Raw genomic sequence first — 17866 nt, forward strand, 5'->3', positions numbered from 1 at the left:
GTTGTTCATTTATACATTGTACTAACCAGTCTTGAGTGCTTATGGGGTATCTTTCTTGGGACTCTGGTTAATGGTGTGAGGAGCAAAGAAAATACAGACCCTGATCTGCTTCTGTCTTCGTGTAGGCTGATCCCTGTGAAGAAGTCATGGGGGAAGGCTGGCCCAAGGTGTGTGGGTGGAGAGCGAGACAAGAAAATGGGAGCAGTCATGAAGCAGTGTCCTGAAATGTCTTGCCTTCCAAGGCCTTGGGGTTTCTGCCAAAATGTAGGTTTTGTAGGGAGGTAAGCAGCTCCAAACCTGGAAGGACATGTGGTTGAAATTATAGAAAAAAGACAAAATTATAAAGGAAGCTACTGGATGAAAGGCTGGAGTAATTTTTGTGGGGAGTAGTGAGCCCCTGTGTATACGAACATCCATGTTGATTCTCATTTATCAGAGTAAGTGCTTGCCTGGCCACATGGTTAGACTGCTCTAACAAACTGTGCCAGATGTTACCAATAAAAGAGAGTCCTTCTTTTTACATACCATTATTGGCATAATATTTTCTGTTCCCAACTCTTGTGGAGTCACTGTTGACAGCTTGATGAACTAAGGACTCACTCTCGGTTTGACTGTGTTTCAATCATGAAAGCCCAAGACTGAAAGCAGAGTTAATAAGAGCTAACTACCTGTCTTGACAGAAAAACATAATATTAGTACCTCAGGTAGGACATCCCAAGAAAAAAACGGTTTCACGTAAGAAAGTTCCCAGAGGCAGCTGTATAAAGCCCTATTGGTGGGCTTCTAGGTTCAGGATATGTGAGATGTGGATCATACATTCCCTATTGCAGATTGTGTAAGGGAGGGAAGACAGGGAAGATGGAGCAGGGAAGCTAATGACACTATCAATGTGAAACATGGACTAGACCACCTCCAAGTACCTGGCCACTTGTAGATATTAATTGTCATTGTAATAATAATGATAAAATGTAATGACCGCCATTTATTTGGTGACTACGTTTTGCGAGCCACGTATTTATATATTATATAAGCATAATAAATATATATATTGGTAGTTTTTGCAAGAGCCTATGAGACAGGTATCAGTTACCCCTCCATTTTTCCTTACTGTATTCATGGCCCACTCTCTCAATTCTTCCCCCTTTTTCTGAAGGGGGAAAGTTCTCTTCAGACATTTTGAACCTCCATCTTGTCCTTCCCATCTCCAGAAGATGCTGGCCTCATACTGACTGAGTGCTTTGAGGTAAGAGCTACGAAAGCTTTATTCATTAAGGACTTTAAACCTTTACAATGTGCTGTCCTTTGCATGTTAAAGTCCTCAGAGTGGAACAGATGCAAAACCAAAGCCAAAAATAAAAAAACAATAACGCTGTAATCCCAGCACTTTGGGAAGCTGAGGCGGGCCGATCACTTGAGGCCAGGAGTTTGAGAGCAGCCTGGCCAACATGGTGAAACCTCATCTCTACTAAAAATACAAAAATTAGCTGGGCATGATGATGCATGCTTGTAATCCCAGCTACTCGGGAGGCTGAGGCAGGAGAATCGCTTGCACCAAGGAGGCGGACATTACAGTGAGCCGAGATCGTGCCACTGCACTCCAGCCTGGGTGACAGAGAGAGACTCTTGTCTCAAAAAAATAAAACAAAACAAAAACCAATAACAAATACAAGAACAAGATCTTTCTTTTGTTAACGTCCTTATCTCTGATGGCATAACTTCCTTCCAGAGGTGAGAGGGGAAAAGGAGTGAGGGAAATAATAGGTCCTTCTTTGAACACATTATTTTCTTTATTTTATAAATGAGAAACCAAGTCTCAGTATAGTGAAATTGGGGCCAAACTGATAAGCAGGGAAAATGTGTTTTGAATTCGGGTCTATTTGACTCAAAAGTCCATAGATCATGGGCCGTGTACCTTCTCACGGCTTCTATTCCATTCTTCAACTTGTAGGTCTTTAAAAGATCTGCATGAATGACTCAATTCTGAGCTGGCCCTTTTACTATCAGTCTCTCTGTGGGTCCCAGATGCTTATGTTGTTGCTGCATGAATGTCAGGGGTGGGAAAGGCAGTGCTGTATACGGAGGGAAGGAAGGAACCATAAACAATACAAGGAGCCACAATTCTGTCTATAACAAGGGGAAAGTGGAAAAATCACCTCTAAACTGGTAATGTGATTGAATAAACTGTTTCTAGATAGAGTTAGATTAGGTTTCCCATGCAGAGGCCCTATATTCCACTATATGACACCCAGCACCATTCCAGAAAAACAAGTGGTCAGGTCACAACCTGGAGAAGACAGCTGACCTTGTCCCAGGTAAGGGGTTTGCATATGGAGCCTGGGCTGTGTCCTCCTCCCCTTCTTTACCCTTGAGAATACTGGGTGCCTGTTACTACAGTGGTAGTCTTTTTACACCCATATCCTCCCCTTCCCTGCAGTTCTTTCTTCCCTTCACCTACCTCTAAATCCATCTGTCCTGAAGTGGGAATTAATGAAAGACTCCAGACTTCTGGGTAAAGATATCTTATTCCACTCTTCATTTACTCTACTACTCTCATTCAGTATGACTGTGAGCAAAAAGGTAACCTGTACCTCACCATGTATAAAATAAGAGAATATAAGGAAATTTTGAGAGGACATTGAAACCCACAGATAAAACATCCTTAAGTCTAAGGCGAATTGCGCATCGCTGTTTCATTTTCATTGGGAATAAACCTTGTTTTTCAGTCTGGCTTGTGCCTTCTTTTTTCCTCCTGAATTGTTTTTAATAACTGAAATCGCTATGACATGGATGCAGCGTGAATTAGATATTTCCTGGTCAGCTATTGATACAGCTAATGGTGCAAAGTCACAATTTATCAATAATTAAACTTGACTCATATAGTTACAAGTTTTTAAAGGGAGATAAAAAGAAAACTCCAAAATGCAAAACACACAGAGGCTTGAGAATTGTCAGGAAACAGAGGAAGAGGAGAAACCTGAATTATAGAAAAAAAAAGCTCACTGAAGAACACAAATTAAAAATCTGTATCCAGTTCATGATGTGGACAACATGTGGGCTGCTGTTGTATTGCCAGTCTTTCACAAAAGATTCCATGTTAACTTATATTTACAGTCTAGGATGTATTATATTGATCTGGACAGTGGGTAAAAGAGATCATAGAAAAAAGTCAGGAGATTAAATTTCTCCACCTAATAAAATATTAAACCAGAGAGAAAAAAGGAGGGGGAAAATATAATTAGTAATGAAGGGCTGCACAATTCGGGAGGATATTGGGGGAATACTTGAGAGAAAATACTAAAGGATGGATAATGACGGCAGAATAGGTTGCCCTAGACATCAAACAGCCCTTCTGGGTTTAAAGAGGTGAAAGACGAGTGAAAAGAATTTTTAGGATGCTGCTTGAGAGCCATGCAGCATAATTATCCTGTTGGGGGCTTTTAAAGAGTCTTAAGATCACCATTTTGTGAAAGTCCTTTTATTTATTGTTATTATTATTATTAATACTGTATGAAAATTGGCCATGAGGTAGCCAACTTTACTTAGGCTATCTACACTTAAATAAATGATTTCATGTGTGGTAGATGGATCGTGTGGTATTCAAAAGCACAATCTCACTGATTTCATTGCCATGTATCTATTTTTTTAAGAAAAATTATATGTGTATATGTATATGTATGTTTAAACTCCTTGTTAACAAAGTATTCTTTTTATTGATTTTATTCAGTTAGTTGCCTTACAAAATGTAATATCATAACTGTTAACATAAAAATTCAGCAAACTGTTGCTAACTATTAATAGTATAGTTAGCTGAGCACATGTTATAAGGGAAGGAAAATACCAAAACCCAGATGAAGTTCTTCCATTACAGTCCAGCAGAACAAAGGAGATTCTGTTTCTCAGACACTTAAATTAGGCAAATAAAAGAGATAGAGTCTCTCTCCTCTGTCTGAAGTGGTCCACCAGTAGAAATATTCTGATTAATATAAACTAGACAGTTAAGGCATTAGACACTCAAGACATTCCACAGCTTATAATACAATAATGATTTACTTTCTTGGGCTTCAAAGTTTGAAAGTTTTTTTTTCTTTTAAATCATTTAAGTATCAAATTGGTGGCTTTTCAGCAGCAGTAACTTCACTCAAAAATAAGCACTCTTCTTCAAAATCTATGTTTTGAATCCTCCAACTCAATTTTTAGACAAAGTAACTTTAAAGTAGGTGAAGACCACATGTCCTTTTTACAAACTGCTTTTCTTGACAAGAAGTAGTTCAAGGAGGTATTGTTCAGGCTACATTACTGGATGGTGCTGGTAAATACAATTTTGGCCGTAGTTTGTTTCCAATTTAGTGACACTGCCTTTTTGGAATAAGATACTAAGGATTATAGCATTATTAGGATTTACAAAAACCGCTATGATTTAGTAGCAATTGAACTTCCAAATTTTAACCTCTTGGCAACAAAACCCAATTTCCTCTTTCTTACATTAGCTCCTAATTGTCAAGACATTAAATAGCAAGCACAAAGATACTGCACTTCTAATTGCAGCATTTGGCAGAAATGAAGGGAAAGGAAGTTGTGCTACATGTTCAAAGGGATTGTGAGTGTCTTAGTGAACCAGAGTTTCAGTAACAAAATATCATAGACTGGATGCCTGTAACAACAGGCATTTATTTCTCACAGTCTTGGAGGCTGGGAACACTAAGATCAAGTTGCTGACAGGTTCAGTGTCTGGTGAGAGCTCCTTTTTCCTGGCTTGTAGATGGCCACTTTCTTTCTGTATCCTTACTTTGTGGGGAGAAGGAGAGAGCTCTAGTCTCTTTCTCTTCTTGTAAGGATACTAATCCCATCATGGGGGTTCCACCCTCATCTCACCTGTTAAGGCCCAAAGCCCCCATCTCCTAATATCATCACACTGTGGTTAGGATTTTAACGTATGAGTTTTGGAGGAAAACAAATATTCAATCCATAGGACTGAGCAACCAAAAGACACCAGGAGAAGATTAAAATGTTACATGAGGTCTCGTCTTTAACGGTGGCCTTTAATCCTTTAATCCCCCTCCAGGAACCACACTTTTCTGTTTTTGCTTCTCTTGCTTCTTTTTGTCACTGCAGAGCATCAGTAATCTTTTTCAAGTCATCAACTTCTAAAAAAAGGCACACATCTCCATCTAAGGATACCCCAAACTTGCATAATACAGTGACTTTTCATATTGTGTAATTTTATTTTTTAGTAACTTTTCAAAATCCAGGAAGCCATCTCTCCAAAGTGGGTTCAGAGCCTTGGCTCCATAAACTGTATTAACACCAAACGTCTTTTTGGCTGGTTTGAAGTCTGACTCTTCCTGGAATTTCTTTAGTTTAGTCCCGGTCGAGTTTGCTAATTGTTCTTTGGTGTTAGCACTTTATGTTCTCCTAACATCTTTTTAATTTAATGTTTTTTTTTTCCAGTTGCTGTAATTTCTCTTTGGCTTTCTCGAGTCATATACATATACATGTATATAATATTATCTATTTATCTACCTGCCTATCATCTATCTATTATCTATCTATCGATCGATTATTTATCGATCTATCTTTTCTGAAACCTTTACTTCTAGTTTTACTTCTCTTTCTTTCTTTTCACATCATCACTGTCGCCCCAGTTATCCTTGATATCCTGGTCATTGCCTTCTCAGTTGTCCCCGCCAGTGGTATTGTGGTATTGCCGGCCCCCACCTCCCGCACAGCGGTGCTTCACGGAATTCCTGAGGCGTACTGGGAGCACCGGCACAGCCGCCGCCATTTCCCGGCAGGGGCACATGGGAGCGACAGCGAGGCGTCAGGGCCGGAAGTGTCCCTGTCTTTGCCCTCGTTGGCTACTGCGGGGCAGGCTGGGACCGAGGCTGTGTGCAGAGGCCTTTGGTGGCTGCGCACGTTGGGGAGGGGACGTAGAACTCAGAGTGATTTTGAGGTTGGTGAAAAATGTTGGATGTGTAACCTTAGACTGTGGTCTAAATGAACCACAGAAATCAAGCTAAAGGGAAAGTAGATAAAACCAGGAGAAAGAACTCTTCTGGATTTCTGTTGCGACTGATTACCATATAACGTCTCCTTTCCCCATAAGATTCCCAGCCCCTACTTAATCACTGCACACTGATCTCAGTACTGCTGTGAAGAGACTTTGCAGAGGTAATGAAAGCCCTAAATCAGTTGACCTTGAGACTCGGTGGGCCTGACCTAATGATGTGAGTCCTTTCAACGCAGAATTTTCTCTGGCTGGCAGCAGAAGGGGAATTAGAGAAATCTGTAGCATGAGAAGCCTTCCACATGCCATTACTGGCTTTGCCAGGGAGGTGGCCATGGGGCAAGGACCTGAGAACAGCCTCTAGGAGCCTGTCCATTCCTGGCCAATAGCTGACAAGAAAACGGGAACTTCAGTCCTACAACTGTGAGGAACTGAGCTCTGCAGACCACCTGAGTGAGCTTGAAAGGACGTTCTTCCCCAGAGTCTCTAGGTAAGAGCACAGCCCAGCTGACGCCTCGGTTTGCACCTTCTGAAACTGTGAGCAGAGAACCATGTTGAGCTCATAGGACTTCTTACCTACAGACTTGTGAGATAATAAATGGTTGTGTTTTAAGCCACTAGGTTGTGGTCATTTGTTACTCAGCAATAAAAAGCTAATACATTCCTCATCACTGATTCAAGTAACAAAAGAGGGAAAAATACAGGGACAGCTAGGGACAACAATACATAGCAAAGATATATAGAACCATGGGCTTTGCCTTATAGTTCACGTGTTCTCCACCTAGGAGACAAAATTATTGAACTAGAAAAAGCATTAAATGGGTAGCTTTGGGCATTCGCATAAAACTCCTAGTGTCTGTTTCTCCCATATGTAAAATGCAGATAATGATGTCATCCTCATAGAAGAGTTGAAGAAATAATTGAGGTAGTTGATGTGAAAGTGTTTTACAAATGTACAAAATTAATGCATGGGTGGCTTTTTTTTTTTTTTTTTTTTTTTTTTTTGGAGACGGAGTCTCACTCTGTCTCCCAGGCTGGAGTGCAGTGGCACAATCCCAGCTCACTGCAACCTCTGGGGTGGCATTATTTTTAAGCAAACCTAAAAGAGGCAAATTCAAATTTGCAAACAGATATAAGAGGGGATGATTCTATTCTTTCACTGGAGGAGTTTTCTCCCATTCCCAGTACTATTTCCCAAGGTTTCTGTCTCTTTATTTGGACTTCTTCTGTGCTATGGAATAAAGTGATGGAAGGGGTATTACTATGAAGACTTTGCCAAACAAAGACAATGGTTAGAAAGGATGCCTTTTATATCTTTTTTTCTATATACTCATATTCTATCCATTGTTACAGCAAAGTTAAGTAACTTTTTTAAAGCTGTTATTGTTACTTTTTTCACTCATTTGTATATTGTGTTCATTCATTCATGAAATATGTATTTAGTTCTTGGTATGTCAGGCATTTAGAAAAGCACCATTCTACTTGGAAGGCTCTGATTTGACGCTAAGAAACTCATTGTTAAGGGCTGTTTTAGAAGGTTTTTTTTTTACCTTAGGTTTTTGTGCAAACAGCAGAGTTCAAAGTCCTCACACCAAAAACACATGCCTGTTTCTTCAGAGAGAAGAGCCATTTGACAAATGCCACCTTTGATCATTTCCCTTATGTGTCCAAGAAACTCATCTGGGTTCAGATCTGGGAGTCTGTAGTTCTAGATCTACTCATCAATCAATACTGTATTGAAGAATTTCTTCCACAAATTCCTTCAGCAGAACTCTAGGTCTGTTAACGAAAGCTCAGTTACATTTAATTGAACTTAATTTTGTTGTGAAGTGGATGTGATGTGAGGGCAAATCCTGCTTTTCTTTCCTAACTTGCATTGTATGTACTCTGTATTGTGTCAGCACCAGGATCAATGTGACTGCATTTTGTTGACTAGAAGTATACTGAGACTGATGAGGATCTTGGCCAGCCAAGCCTATCAGCACTTGTGCCCATGGTCAGTCAGGCTCAGGGGCACTCACAAAGCAGAGTAGTCGATTGAAAAGCAAGCATAAAAGATAAGGTTGGACTATGCTTGCGATACACCTTATCGAGGCAATCAATGGGGCATGAACTTGGCAGAGTTCTAAGGGACATAAATCCCAAACGTTAAGGTAGGAAGGTGATCATAAGTCAGAATAGTCAGGAACAGAAGAGAGACTTGGGCAATAGAACATTTTGAGGTGACAGTACAGGCACCAGCAGGGCCTCTCATTGAAGAAGGAAGCCATTTCAGAGCCTAAAGATTCCTAAAGATTCCTGGGCCTCTGGACAAGAATAAGACTTTTGGTAATGGACACCAGGTCATAGGGAAGATAAGCGGAGATTCAGTTAACTCAAATCAATGGATATTTATTGAGCACTTCCCTGATTTCAGAGTGCATTTACGACTTTGTACAAAGAAATGACTGTTGTATGGCCCATATTCTTAAAGAAGTTACAATCTAGAAGGAGAACCAGGCACCCTACAAGTATTAAGTCAGATATTAATAAGCATTGGAATAAAAGTGACATGCATTTCCAAGTACTATAAGATAAAGAAATATTGCATTTTTTGGGAAAGCATGACTTCTGGTTGACAGGTAAAGATCTTTGACAACAACACTTGCTCTGGTAAAACCCATATAAAATGAAAGGCCCCGGCTTAAGAAGATACAGTATTCACTGAATGTGGAAATGGGTGCAATTCCTTTCACTAGCTGCTACCCCTTCTCTGCCACATACACAAAATCTCTCTTAAGTTATCATATGGGCTTACAAAATCTTTCAGCCAACTTTCTGAGTGCCTAGTATGTGCTAGGCACATGATGGGGAAGAAGGACAGTGGAGAGAGGGCAAAGAATAAATGCTGTAGTATCTGACTTCAAGGAGTTTACAAGCCAGACAAGGCAGACATCTGAGAGATGGTGACACAGGTCGAGGGGTCTACTAAGCTCCTAAGACACTATTTGTGCTGCCACCGACTGTGCAGGCCTGTAAAATGTGCTATTACCACCTTTATGGGTTTCCAGCTAAATGTCTTGTTTAGAAATGGGAAAAAGTACAAGGAAAGGGCTGATAACAGCTTACTCTCCTGTGGAAGATCTTAGGGTTCTTGAAGCTAAGAGGGACTTAAAAATGTAAATTAGACCACAGAGTCATTCATCCCAAGCTGTGAGCTATGCAACTCCAGGCAGAAATGTTGGAAAAGGTATCCTCTATTGAAAAAGAAGGCCCCAGCCAATGCATCTCCAAAGCTAGGCTGAAAGAAGGAGCAAGCCAGATGGTTTTTTTGTTTAAAGAACCCACAAGGCAGTCTAGGTTTCCAGACAGTTAATAGGGGTGAGAAGTAGGGTTTGAGGGATGGGGACTGGGGCAAGCAGAAAATAATTTTAATTCTGACCCCCATTAGAGATGTTCTGACCGGTGATTGGAGACTGTGACCAGAACCTTCTTGATAAGATAGGGGGTATCAGTGGGACTTGGGGCTCTGAATATGTATGGCCCAGATTTCTTTGTGTGGCTGATATCTGACTGGATATTTATTCTTCTAGATTACACATTCTGACTCTGAGGAACAAAGAGCTGGCAAGAGCTGCTCTCTGGTGCTTAATAATTTGAAGGAATTTACATTTCAATGCAGCCCTGTGTTAAATTTCTCACACAGTCTCTCTCCCTACTCCCTACTTGCCTTCCCCTCCCCCTAATTTCTTCCAATGGAAAGAACAGACCACTTTCCCAGTCTAGGAAAGGCAGTGGGCAAAAAGAAAGAAAGAGAAAATCATAGCAACATCATCGGGGGGAGGAGATTTATTGATATTCCACTTAGAATTTATTCCCTCAGAATCCTATTTATTTTATTTATGTTTATAAGTCATGCATTACCAAGTACAATGAAATCTCCAGAAAACCCAGAAGGTTAGTTGGCGTTCTCTGTGATTTGAAAGATGAAACAGAGGGAGAAAATGAATAAGAAGTGAAGGTGTGGGAGGGGCTGGGGACAGGAATAGGTGGCTTAGGAGAAAACATTTCCTAAGGAATAGCACATGTCGCTTTGGCTTCCTCTGTGTGAGCAAGTGTGATCCAAATAATTTCCTCGGTCCTTCCCCACTGCCCCTCCCCCTCCTCCCAGGAGAGGGGATTCATTGTCAGGTAATTAACCATCAGCATTATAGAAAGCACTCACTAGGCAGAAGTGTGAAAACACATTTACACCTCATATAAATGGGATAGGAGATTTTGCTGTTTGAGTGGCACCTGAGGAGCCACAAATTGACAAAGATAAAGTCATCCATGGTTATGATTATAAGATCTTAAGTGCTCACATTTTGTTTCTAAAATGGGCCACCCTTTCTCCCTTCATGCTGATATCACAGAGCATATAGTGACCAGTAGACTACAAGGAGCTTGGGATATAGCTTAGGAGACATGGCAGCCCAGCTAGGATCCTACACTAGTAATTCAAGGGGTTTATTCTGCCATTGCAAGTGCAGTCAATCAATACACTTGTAAGACATGGTTCATTTGTACCCTAACGCATTGTTTCTGCCTGCAGGATACTGACATACAAGTACATAATTATAATACAGGGTGATAGTACCTACAGAAAAGGCATGCCCAGGAGGTTATGGAAGCATGGAAGTGGCAGTCATGGAAGATTTCATGGAGGAAGTGACATGAAATGAGGTTCAGAGAATGAAGAGGGGCTTGTTAGGTGAATTCAATGAAAAAATGGAAACACCAGCGGGATAGTTTGGGTTCGCATCGTACATTGTTTGGTATGAAAGAGTGGACAGATGAGGCTAGTTTAGTCTGTAAGACAGGCTTGTGGATGTGCCACAAAATAACTTGGATTTTATTCAGTAAATGATAAAAAACCTTTATGGAAATAAAGGCAGTCTGTGGATGGGGTGATTAGTAAGGAAAAAAGGAAAAAGGAAAATGGATTTTTATATTCACCATGATAAAAATATGGAAACCTTGACACAATACTTTTAAAACTAACCACAGGACAAGTAGGTCTAGACTTCTTCTCAACTGGAGAAGGAGGAGGGAATTAAGAGCTATAATTTTCATACTCATAAAGATATTCTGGCTAATTATAGTTAGTTCCAACCAGAAACTTCTCAGTAAAGGGGAAAGGACATCTGTGGAACTGGGGGCAGAGCCTTATTAGCCTCCACGGTAGTATTTAACATCAATTGCTATTAGAAAAGCAAACCTTTCAATTGAACTGCCTCTTCTCTGGCTCTAAATTTAACTCATCTCAATCTTCACTGTAGAAGAACGGGAAATTCCTACTTCACACAACTCTAAGGGGACATTATTAGGTCTGTCCCATCTCCTGTAAGTTATAACTATGATTGCACCAAGCCTTGGGCATCTCATAAAAACATGAGGTTCTCTTAAGTATAGGAGGGACATATTTAGGATGAATGAAAAAGGATGTGGGCCCTTTAATAAATGTTATTTGATGTCACAGAATTTAGACGTACTTTAGATGTAACAGTGATTCTTCTCTTCCTTAGGCGAATTTATTCTCTTCTTACTGTTTTACAATGTATGTATGTGTTATTATTCAGGTATCATAAGGCTAACAGATCAGGTGATGAATACCATTGAAGAGATAATTTGTTATCGTTCTTAAGAGGGGGAGGAATGCCATGCCACAAGGTGGAGGGAGCACAAGGAAATAAATGTGAGCAGAAATTTTATTGTAGTTTCCATGGGAAGAAATGAGTGAGGCTGCGTAAACAGGTTTAGGATTGACTAGTTTGAATAATTTGCATGTAGGAACTACATTTAGTCATCTGGTATCTGGCCCTGTGGTGATCAGCGCAAGGGAATAGAGGCCCAAAATGTTAGAGCCCAATAGATAGAGGATGTGATTGGGGATATGGGCTCTGGATTGGTTGGTTCGCATAATGAAAGGTGTGCTTGCAGGTGAGTCCTTACTATATCTAGGAATTGGTTATCTCTGGGAGGGGCTGTTCTTCCAGCATCAGCAAGGACCCAGACAGATATCAAAGCAGCAGAAATGCATGATTAATATCCCTAAAGACCTTACACTTTCTTAGATTCTTCTTTGAACTTTCTCTTTTCTCTTTGAAGATTGGCAAGAATCCCCCTGTAAGCATATGATAAGTGATGTCTATAATAGAAATAATATGACTTCCTGGTTTCTATGAACTTTTTCTGCAACCTTATAGGAGACACCAGATTTGATTGATTTATGAATGGAATAGTGGTGTGGTAATCTTTTATGCTACTTTCTGGATCAACCCAAGAATAGTTGCTACAGCCCACATTTTCTGTTACCAATGCATCAGGTTTATAATTCTGTTAAAGCACCTCTACAAGTCAAGATGTTTTAGGTGGTAATTAAGAGAAAATTCATCTTAAAATGGCTTAAATAAAGAAATTACATTATTTTACTTAACAAGATATATTAAAGTAGAGAATTCAGGGCCTCAATCGTATTTTCAAAGACCTGGCTCTGTCTTCCTGCTGTGCCATTTTGGTGTGTAGAATTGTCTTCAGGCTGACTCCCTTCAAAGATGCAAAATAACTGCAGCTTTTTCAGGAATATGTCTAGACCAAGAAACAAAACAGAACAAAAGTCCAGAGTAAGAAGAGAAATGATTTCTAATTTAAAATTTTTTCTATTGACTCCTTTTCAAAGAACTAAAGTTTGGTTTCTTAATTTTCTCTATTTTTTGATCTTCTTTTGTTTCTTTGATTTCAACTCTTTATTTTCTATGTTGTACTTAATTTTTTTCTTTTTTAGTTTTTAAAAATGAAGCTTCGATCATTGATTTTAAACCTTTCTTTTTTTCTAATGTAAGTGTAAGTATTTAAAGCTGCCAATTTCCTTGTAAGCACTATTTTAAGTGTATTCTATACATGTTGATATGTTTTGTTTTCAATATCATTCATTTGAAAATACTTTCTAATTTTGTTTCAGAATTTCCTTTTTGGTTCATGAGTTATTTTGAAATATATTGCTTAATTTCCCTATATTGAAGATTTTAAAGATATCTGTTATTAACATTTAGTTTATTTCAATTTTTGCCAGAGAGCATATTTGGTTGATTTCAATCCTTTAAATGTCCTGAGACTCATTATGTACCATTTTGTGTATTTTGAATGTTCCATGTATGCTTGGAAAAAATTGTGCATTCATAAGTTGTTCTATGTAATATTCTATAAATGATAAATTTGATTAAGTTGTTTGATAATGCTGTTCAAATCTCAATAACCTTTCTTAGTTTTGATCTACATTTAAAAAAACAATTATTGAGAGAGGAGTGTTAAAGGGTCTAATTATATTTATGAATTTGGCTTTTTCCTTTCAATTCTGTTAGTTTTTGCATCATATATTTTGAAGATCTGTTATTAGGTACATAGATATTAAGGACCAATTGTTGTTCTGATGAATTGTTCTTATTATGAACTGTTTTTCTTTATTGTGAATAATACTTCTTGTATTAATGTCTATTTTTGTGTTATAGTTACTTCAGAATTCTTATGATTATGGTGTATCATAAGGCGTATCTTTTACTATCCTTTCATTGTAACCTACCTGTATCTTTATAATCAAATTGGGTCTCTTGTAAACAGCATATAGTTAGGTCCGGGTTTGTTTCTTAAAATTTAATCAACCTCTGCCTCTAATTTATTACATCCAATGTAATTATTGATATGGTTGGCTTTAAGACTACCAGTCTGTTCTTTGTGTTCTATTTGCTGCATCTGTCATTTAGTTTTATCCCTTTTTTTAAAATGAATTAGTTTTTGGAAACATACAATTGTATTTCTCTCATTGGCTTTTTAGCCACACTTCTTTAGTTATTTTTATTTGTGGTTCTAGGGATAACAATGTACATTTATAACTTATTCCAGATAACCTTGAATTAACATTAAACCTCTTTACATACAATAATCTTAGCAAGTATAGTTACATTTAAACAATTTAACCCTTTGTGCTACTGTCATCATACATTTTCTACTTCTAAATGTTATAAACCCAATAATAGTATGAAATAACATATTGTTATTATATTTTCTTTAAAGTCAATTGAATTTTTAAAAATTAATCTGTAAAAACAGCCTTTTATGCTTACCCACATACTTACTATATCTGGCATTTCTTGTTTCTTCATGTAAATTCTAGTTTCATCTTGTATCATTTCTATTCAGCCTAAAGAACTTAAACATTTTTTGTTGTGTAAGTCTACTTATGAGAAATTCTCTCAACTTTTCTTTATCTGAAAATCTCTTCATTTTTTATTCATTTTTAAAGGGCATTTTAACTTATTGTAAAATTATAGGTCATCATTTTTGTTTTCGTTGTTGTCATGCTTTAACAAAGTCATTCCATTATATATTAGCTTGCACTGTTTTTGACAAAAAGTCAGCAATAATTCTTATAATTGGAACCCTGTACACAGTGTCTTTTTATTTTTGGTCACTTTAAGGAGTTTGCCTTTGCTTTTAAAACCCGTCGGTTTTTTGTTTGTGTTTTTTTACTATACTTTAAGTTCTGGGGTACATGTGCAGAAAGTGCAGTTTTGTTACATAGGTATACATGTGCCATGGTGGTTTGCTGCACCTATCAACCCGTCATCTACATTAGGTATTTCTCCTAATGCTATCCCTCCCCTAGTCCCCCACCCCCCAACAGGATGTGGTGTGTAATGTTCCCCTCCCCGTGTCCATGTGTTCTCATTGTTCAACTCCTACTTATGAGTGAGAGCATGAGGTGTTTGGTTTTCTGTTCCTGTGATAGTTTGCTGAGAATGATGGTTTCCAGCTTCATCCATGTCCCTGCAAAGGACATGAACTCATCCTTTTTTATGGCTGCGTAGTATTCTATTGTTTATATGTGCTACATTTTCTTTATCCAGCTAGGTATATTATTAAAAAAACTGATGGTCCATCAGTTTTATTATAATATACCTAGGTATGGTTTTCTTTGTGTTCTTTTTGCTTGAAGTTTGTTGAGCTTCTTACTCCAAGTGTGTTTGCATTTTTAAGTCAAATTTGCAAAATATGTTATTCATTATTTCTTTACATTTCTTTTGTGGTCCAATCTTTCTCCTTCTCCTGTAACTCCAATTACGTGTATGTTAGGCCACTTAATAGTGTCCCACTGGTTACTTCCTATCTGTTCCTTTTTATATCATTCTTTTGTGCATTCTTAAGTTTATTGCCCTGTCTTCTAGTTTATTGATTGTTACTTCTTCAGTGTCTAATCTTCTATTGAGCTCATCTGGTACATTTCAAGTCAGCTATTTCTCAATTTTAGAATTTTAATATTTTACAATTTCCATGTCTCTGTTGAGATTCTGCATCTGTTAATTTATTATATTTATTTTTAAATTTCTTTTTATTTTTCCCAAAGACAAATTTGAGATGATAGTTTATTTAATGCATTGTTTTGTTTTAGAATGGTTATAAATTTACAGAGAAGTTGCCAAGATAGTTCATATACCTGTCATCCATTCCTGCCTATTGCTAACATTATTACAATGATGCATTTGTCACTAGTAAGAAACCAACATTGTTTATTGGTATTAAGTAAAACCCACACTTTATTTGAATTCCAGTCCTATTCTCCCTGTAATTTTTAAAAAATGTCAGTCCAGGAGTCCATCTAAAATATTACATAACATTTAGTCTTCCTGTCTCCATTTCTTCTGTGGTTTATGAAAATTTATCTTGTTTGTGATAACCCTGAAGGGTTGGACGATGTCAGGTATTTTGTAGAATGTTTCTCAATTTTGTTTTGACTAATGTTTTCCCACGGTTATACAGGGTGTGGGATTTCACAGGGTGGAGTGCCCATCTAATCACATCATATCAGGGGTACAGACTAAAATGTGACTTACTGCTGTTGGCCTTTTCTTGGCTGAGGTAGAGCGGGCCAGGATTGTGTACTCTTGCCCTTTCCAAGCTCTAATCTTTAGAAATACTCCTTAAGCACAGACAGCACTCAAGGAATGGGACATCTTTTTATTTAAAATTGTTTGTACATATTTATAAGAGTTGTTTTGAAGATATTACATGTTAATTCTAATATCTGCTTGATCTCTTACCCTATTTCCATTGACTGTTTTTTCTTCCTGGTTATAAGTGTTTTTTTTTCATGCTTCTTTGCATGTCTAGTACATTTTATTGTTTGTTGGCATAAATATTAATACATTACTTTGTTGTCTGCCTTTAAATAATATTAAGCTTTGTTCTTGAAGGCAGTTAATTTACTGACTGATCAGCTTGATCCTCTCAAGTCTTGGCTTAAGGGTTTGTTGGGATAAATCTAGAGTAGCTCTACTCCTAAGGCATTGTCCCTTTGAATTTTAAATGGAGTGTTTTGTGTGTTCCCAGAGGTTTCTCCACTCTTACTGGTCAGAACACCAGTGCTTCCCAGAACTATGCAACATCCAGAACGTCCACTCTAAGTATATCTTTCCTATACTCAATCTCTGCCATGTTTCATGTAGTCTCAGCCTAGACGGGTGAAAAGTATTTGGCTAATCATTTGAAGAAATTTATATTCAGATTATTTGTGATCATTCTTTGGCAGCTCTCTCTTCTGCAGTTCCTTACAAATTACAGTTGCCTCAGTAACTTAAAATTTACATCTCTGTTTCTTTTGCTCATAAAACTGTTGCTCTCTTTGGGCTCCATTTTGCTGTTGCCATGGTTTGAAAATGACCTCCTTTATATAAAACTAGAGGGTATGTGGCACTGTTATTTTCCCTTCTCTCAAAGATCACAAACCTTCACCATGAGCACTTTGAGAAATCTTTTCTTAGCATCTTTGTTTCATCAGCATTCAATGTAATGCTTGCATATATTAATCAGTGAGTAAATTTTAAATTATATGAATAGAATTAATTGTCTGATTAAACTCAAAAGTCATGATCATCCCATCTTTTAGTTTTAATTCCCCAAAACAATGCACAGTAGGCTGTCACCACAAGAAATAAGTGTGTAAAGTAATGCATATGTTAAATAGCTTGATTTAACCATTTCACAATGTACAGTATCATGTATATCAAATCATCATGTGTCTATATATCAAAACATCATGTTGTTCATCATAAATGTATACTTTTTTTATTTGTCAGCTAAAAAATGTTTTTTAAAAAGAGTAGGCTCATTGTTACTTATTCATGGAAAGAGTTGAGGTGATAAGGTTGAAATTGTGAGGCCACCAGTAGTTTATATCTAGTACTATATCTTTATCTTAGTTTCAGGAAAGTCCACAAAAAGTTTTTCATTTCAAATAATATTTTAACTTAAATCTTGATTTACCTATTTGGAGATTTCCTTAGTCAAGAAAAAGTCAGTGCTTGAAAATTTTTTCCTAACCAGGCTTAACAACATTAACTTATAGTTAAGAAGTAAAACAAATTCTTTTATTTAGAATATTAGGGATAGGTAAAACTGGCCTTGTGATTGCCAAACAATTGCCATAAACCAAAGGATGAAACTGAAGATTCCTGTTTTCCTGTTATATATAAGTGTTTTTAATCTTCTTTAGGGAAGTTTTTTTACCCAGAGAAAATATTTACATATACATTCATAAAGAAATATATTAATAACATGTGCCTTTCTTTAGTTTTTTTTAACTTTATCTTCTTGGGGTTAAAATATCCTTACCACTAAGAAAGCAGTTATTTCATTTCAAACACTATTATGGTTATCTTCCCATATAAATTTGTGGGTTATCTCTCAGCTTGCTAAGGTTTTATAAGCCAGAGAGGCTTCTGGCCTGAAGGAGTACTAGATTCTTGTTTATATGGTTGATGGGTTATGTTGAGCCCTGTATATAATCAC

At 37.5% G+C, this 17866-nt stretch overlaps 1 pseudogene across 1 annotated transcript, besides 1 other annotated feature; it reads right to left on the bottom strand.

The window, feature by feature from the left end:
* Window positions 1-3687: 3687 nt before the first annotated feature.
* LOC100422212 (eukaryotic translation initiation factor 3 subunit J pseudogene) lies at window positions 3688-5809 on the bottom strand (annotated as a pseudogene). Its single transcript, NR_104294.1, has one exon. The product of NR_104294.1 is annotated as a eukaryotic translation initiation factor 3 subunit J pseudogene (transcript).
* Window positions 9991-10510: an enhancer, noted in NCBI's record as "NANOG hESC enhancer chr1:163397163-163397682 (GRCh37/hg19 assembly coordinates)". NCBI's record gives its function as "activates a minimal SCP1, AML or CMV promoter by ChIP-STARR-seq in naive H9 embryonic stem cells {active_cell/tissue: H9 hESC(naive)}" and the evidence as "EXISTENCE:reporter gene assay evidence [ECO:0000049][PMID:30033119]".

The sequence above is a fragment of the Homo sapiens genome, chromosome 1 (assembly GCF_000001405.40).
Source record: "Homo sapiens chromosome 1, GRCh38.p14 Primary Assembly".
In the NCBI taxonomy this organism is placed as follows: Eukaryota; Metazoa; Chordata; class Mammalia; order Primates; family Hominidae; genus Homo; species Homo sapiens.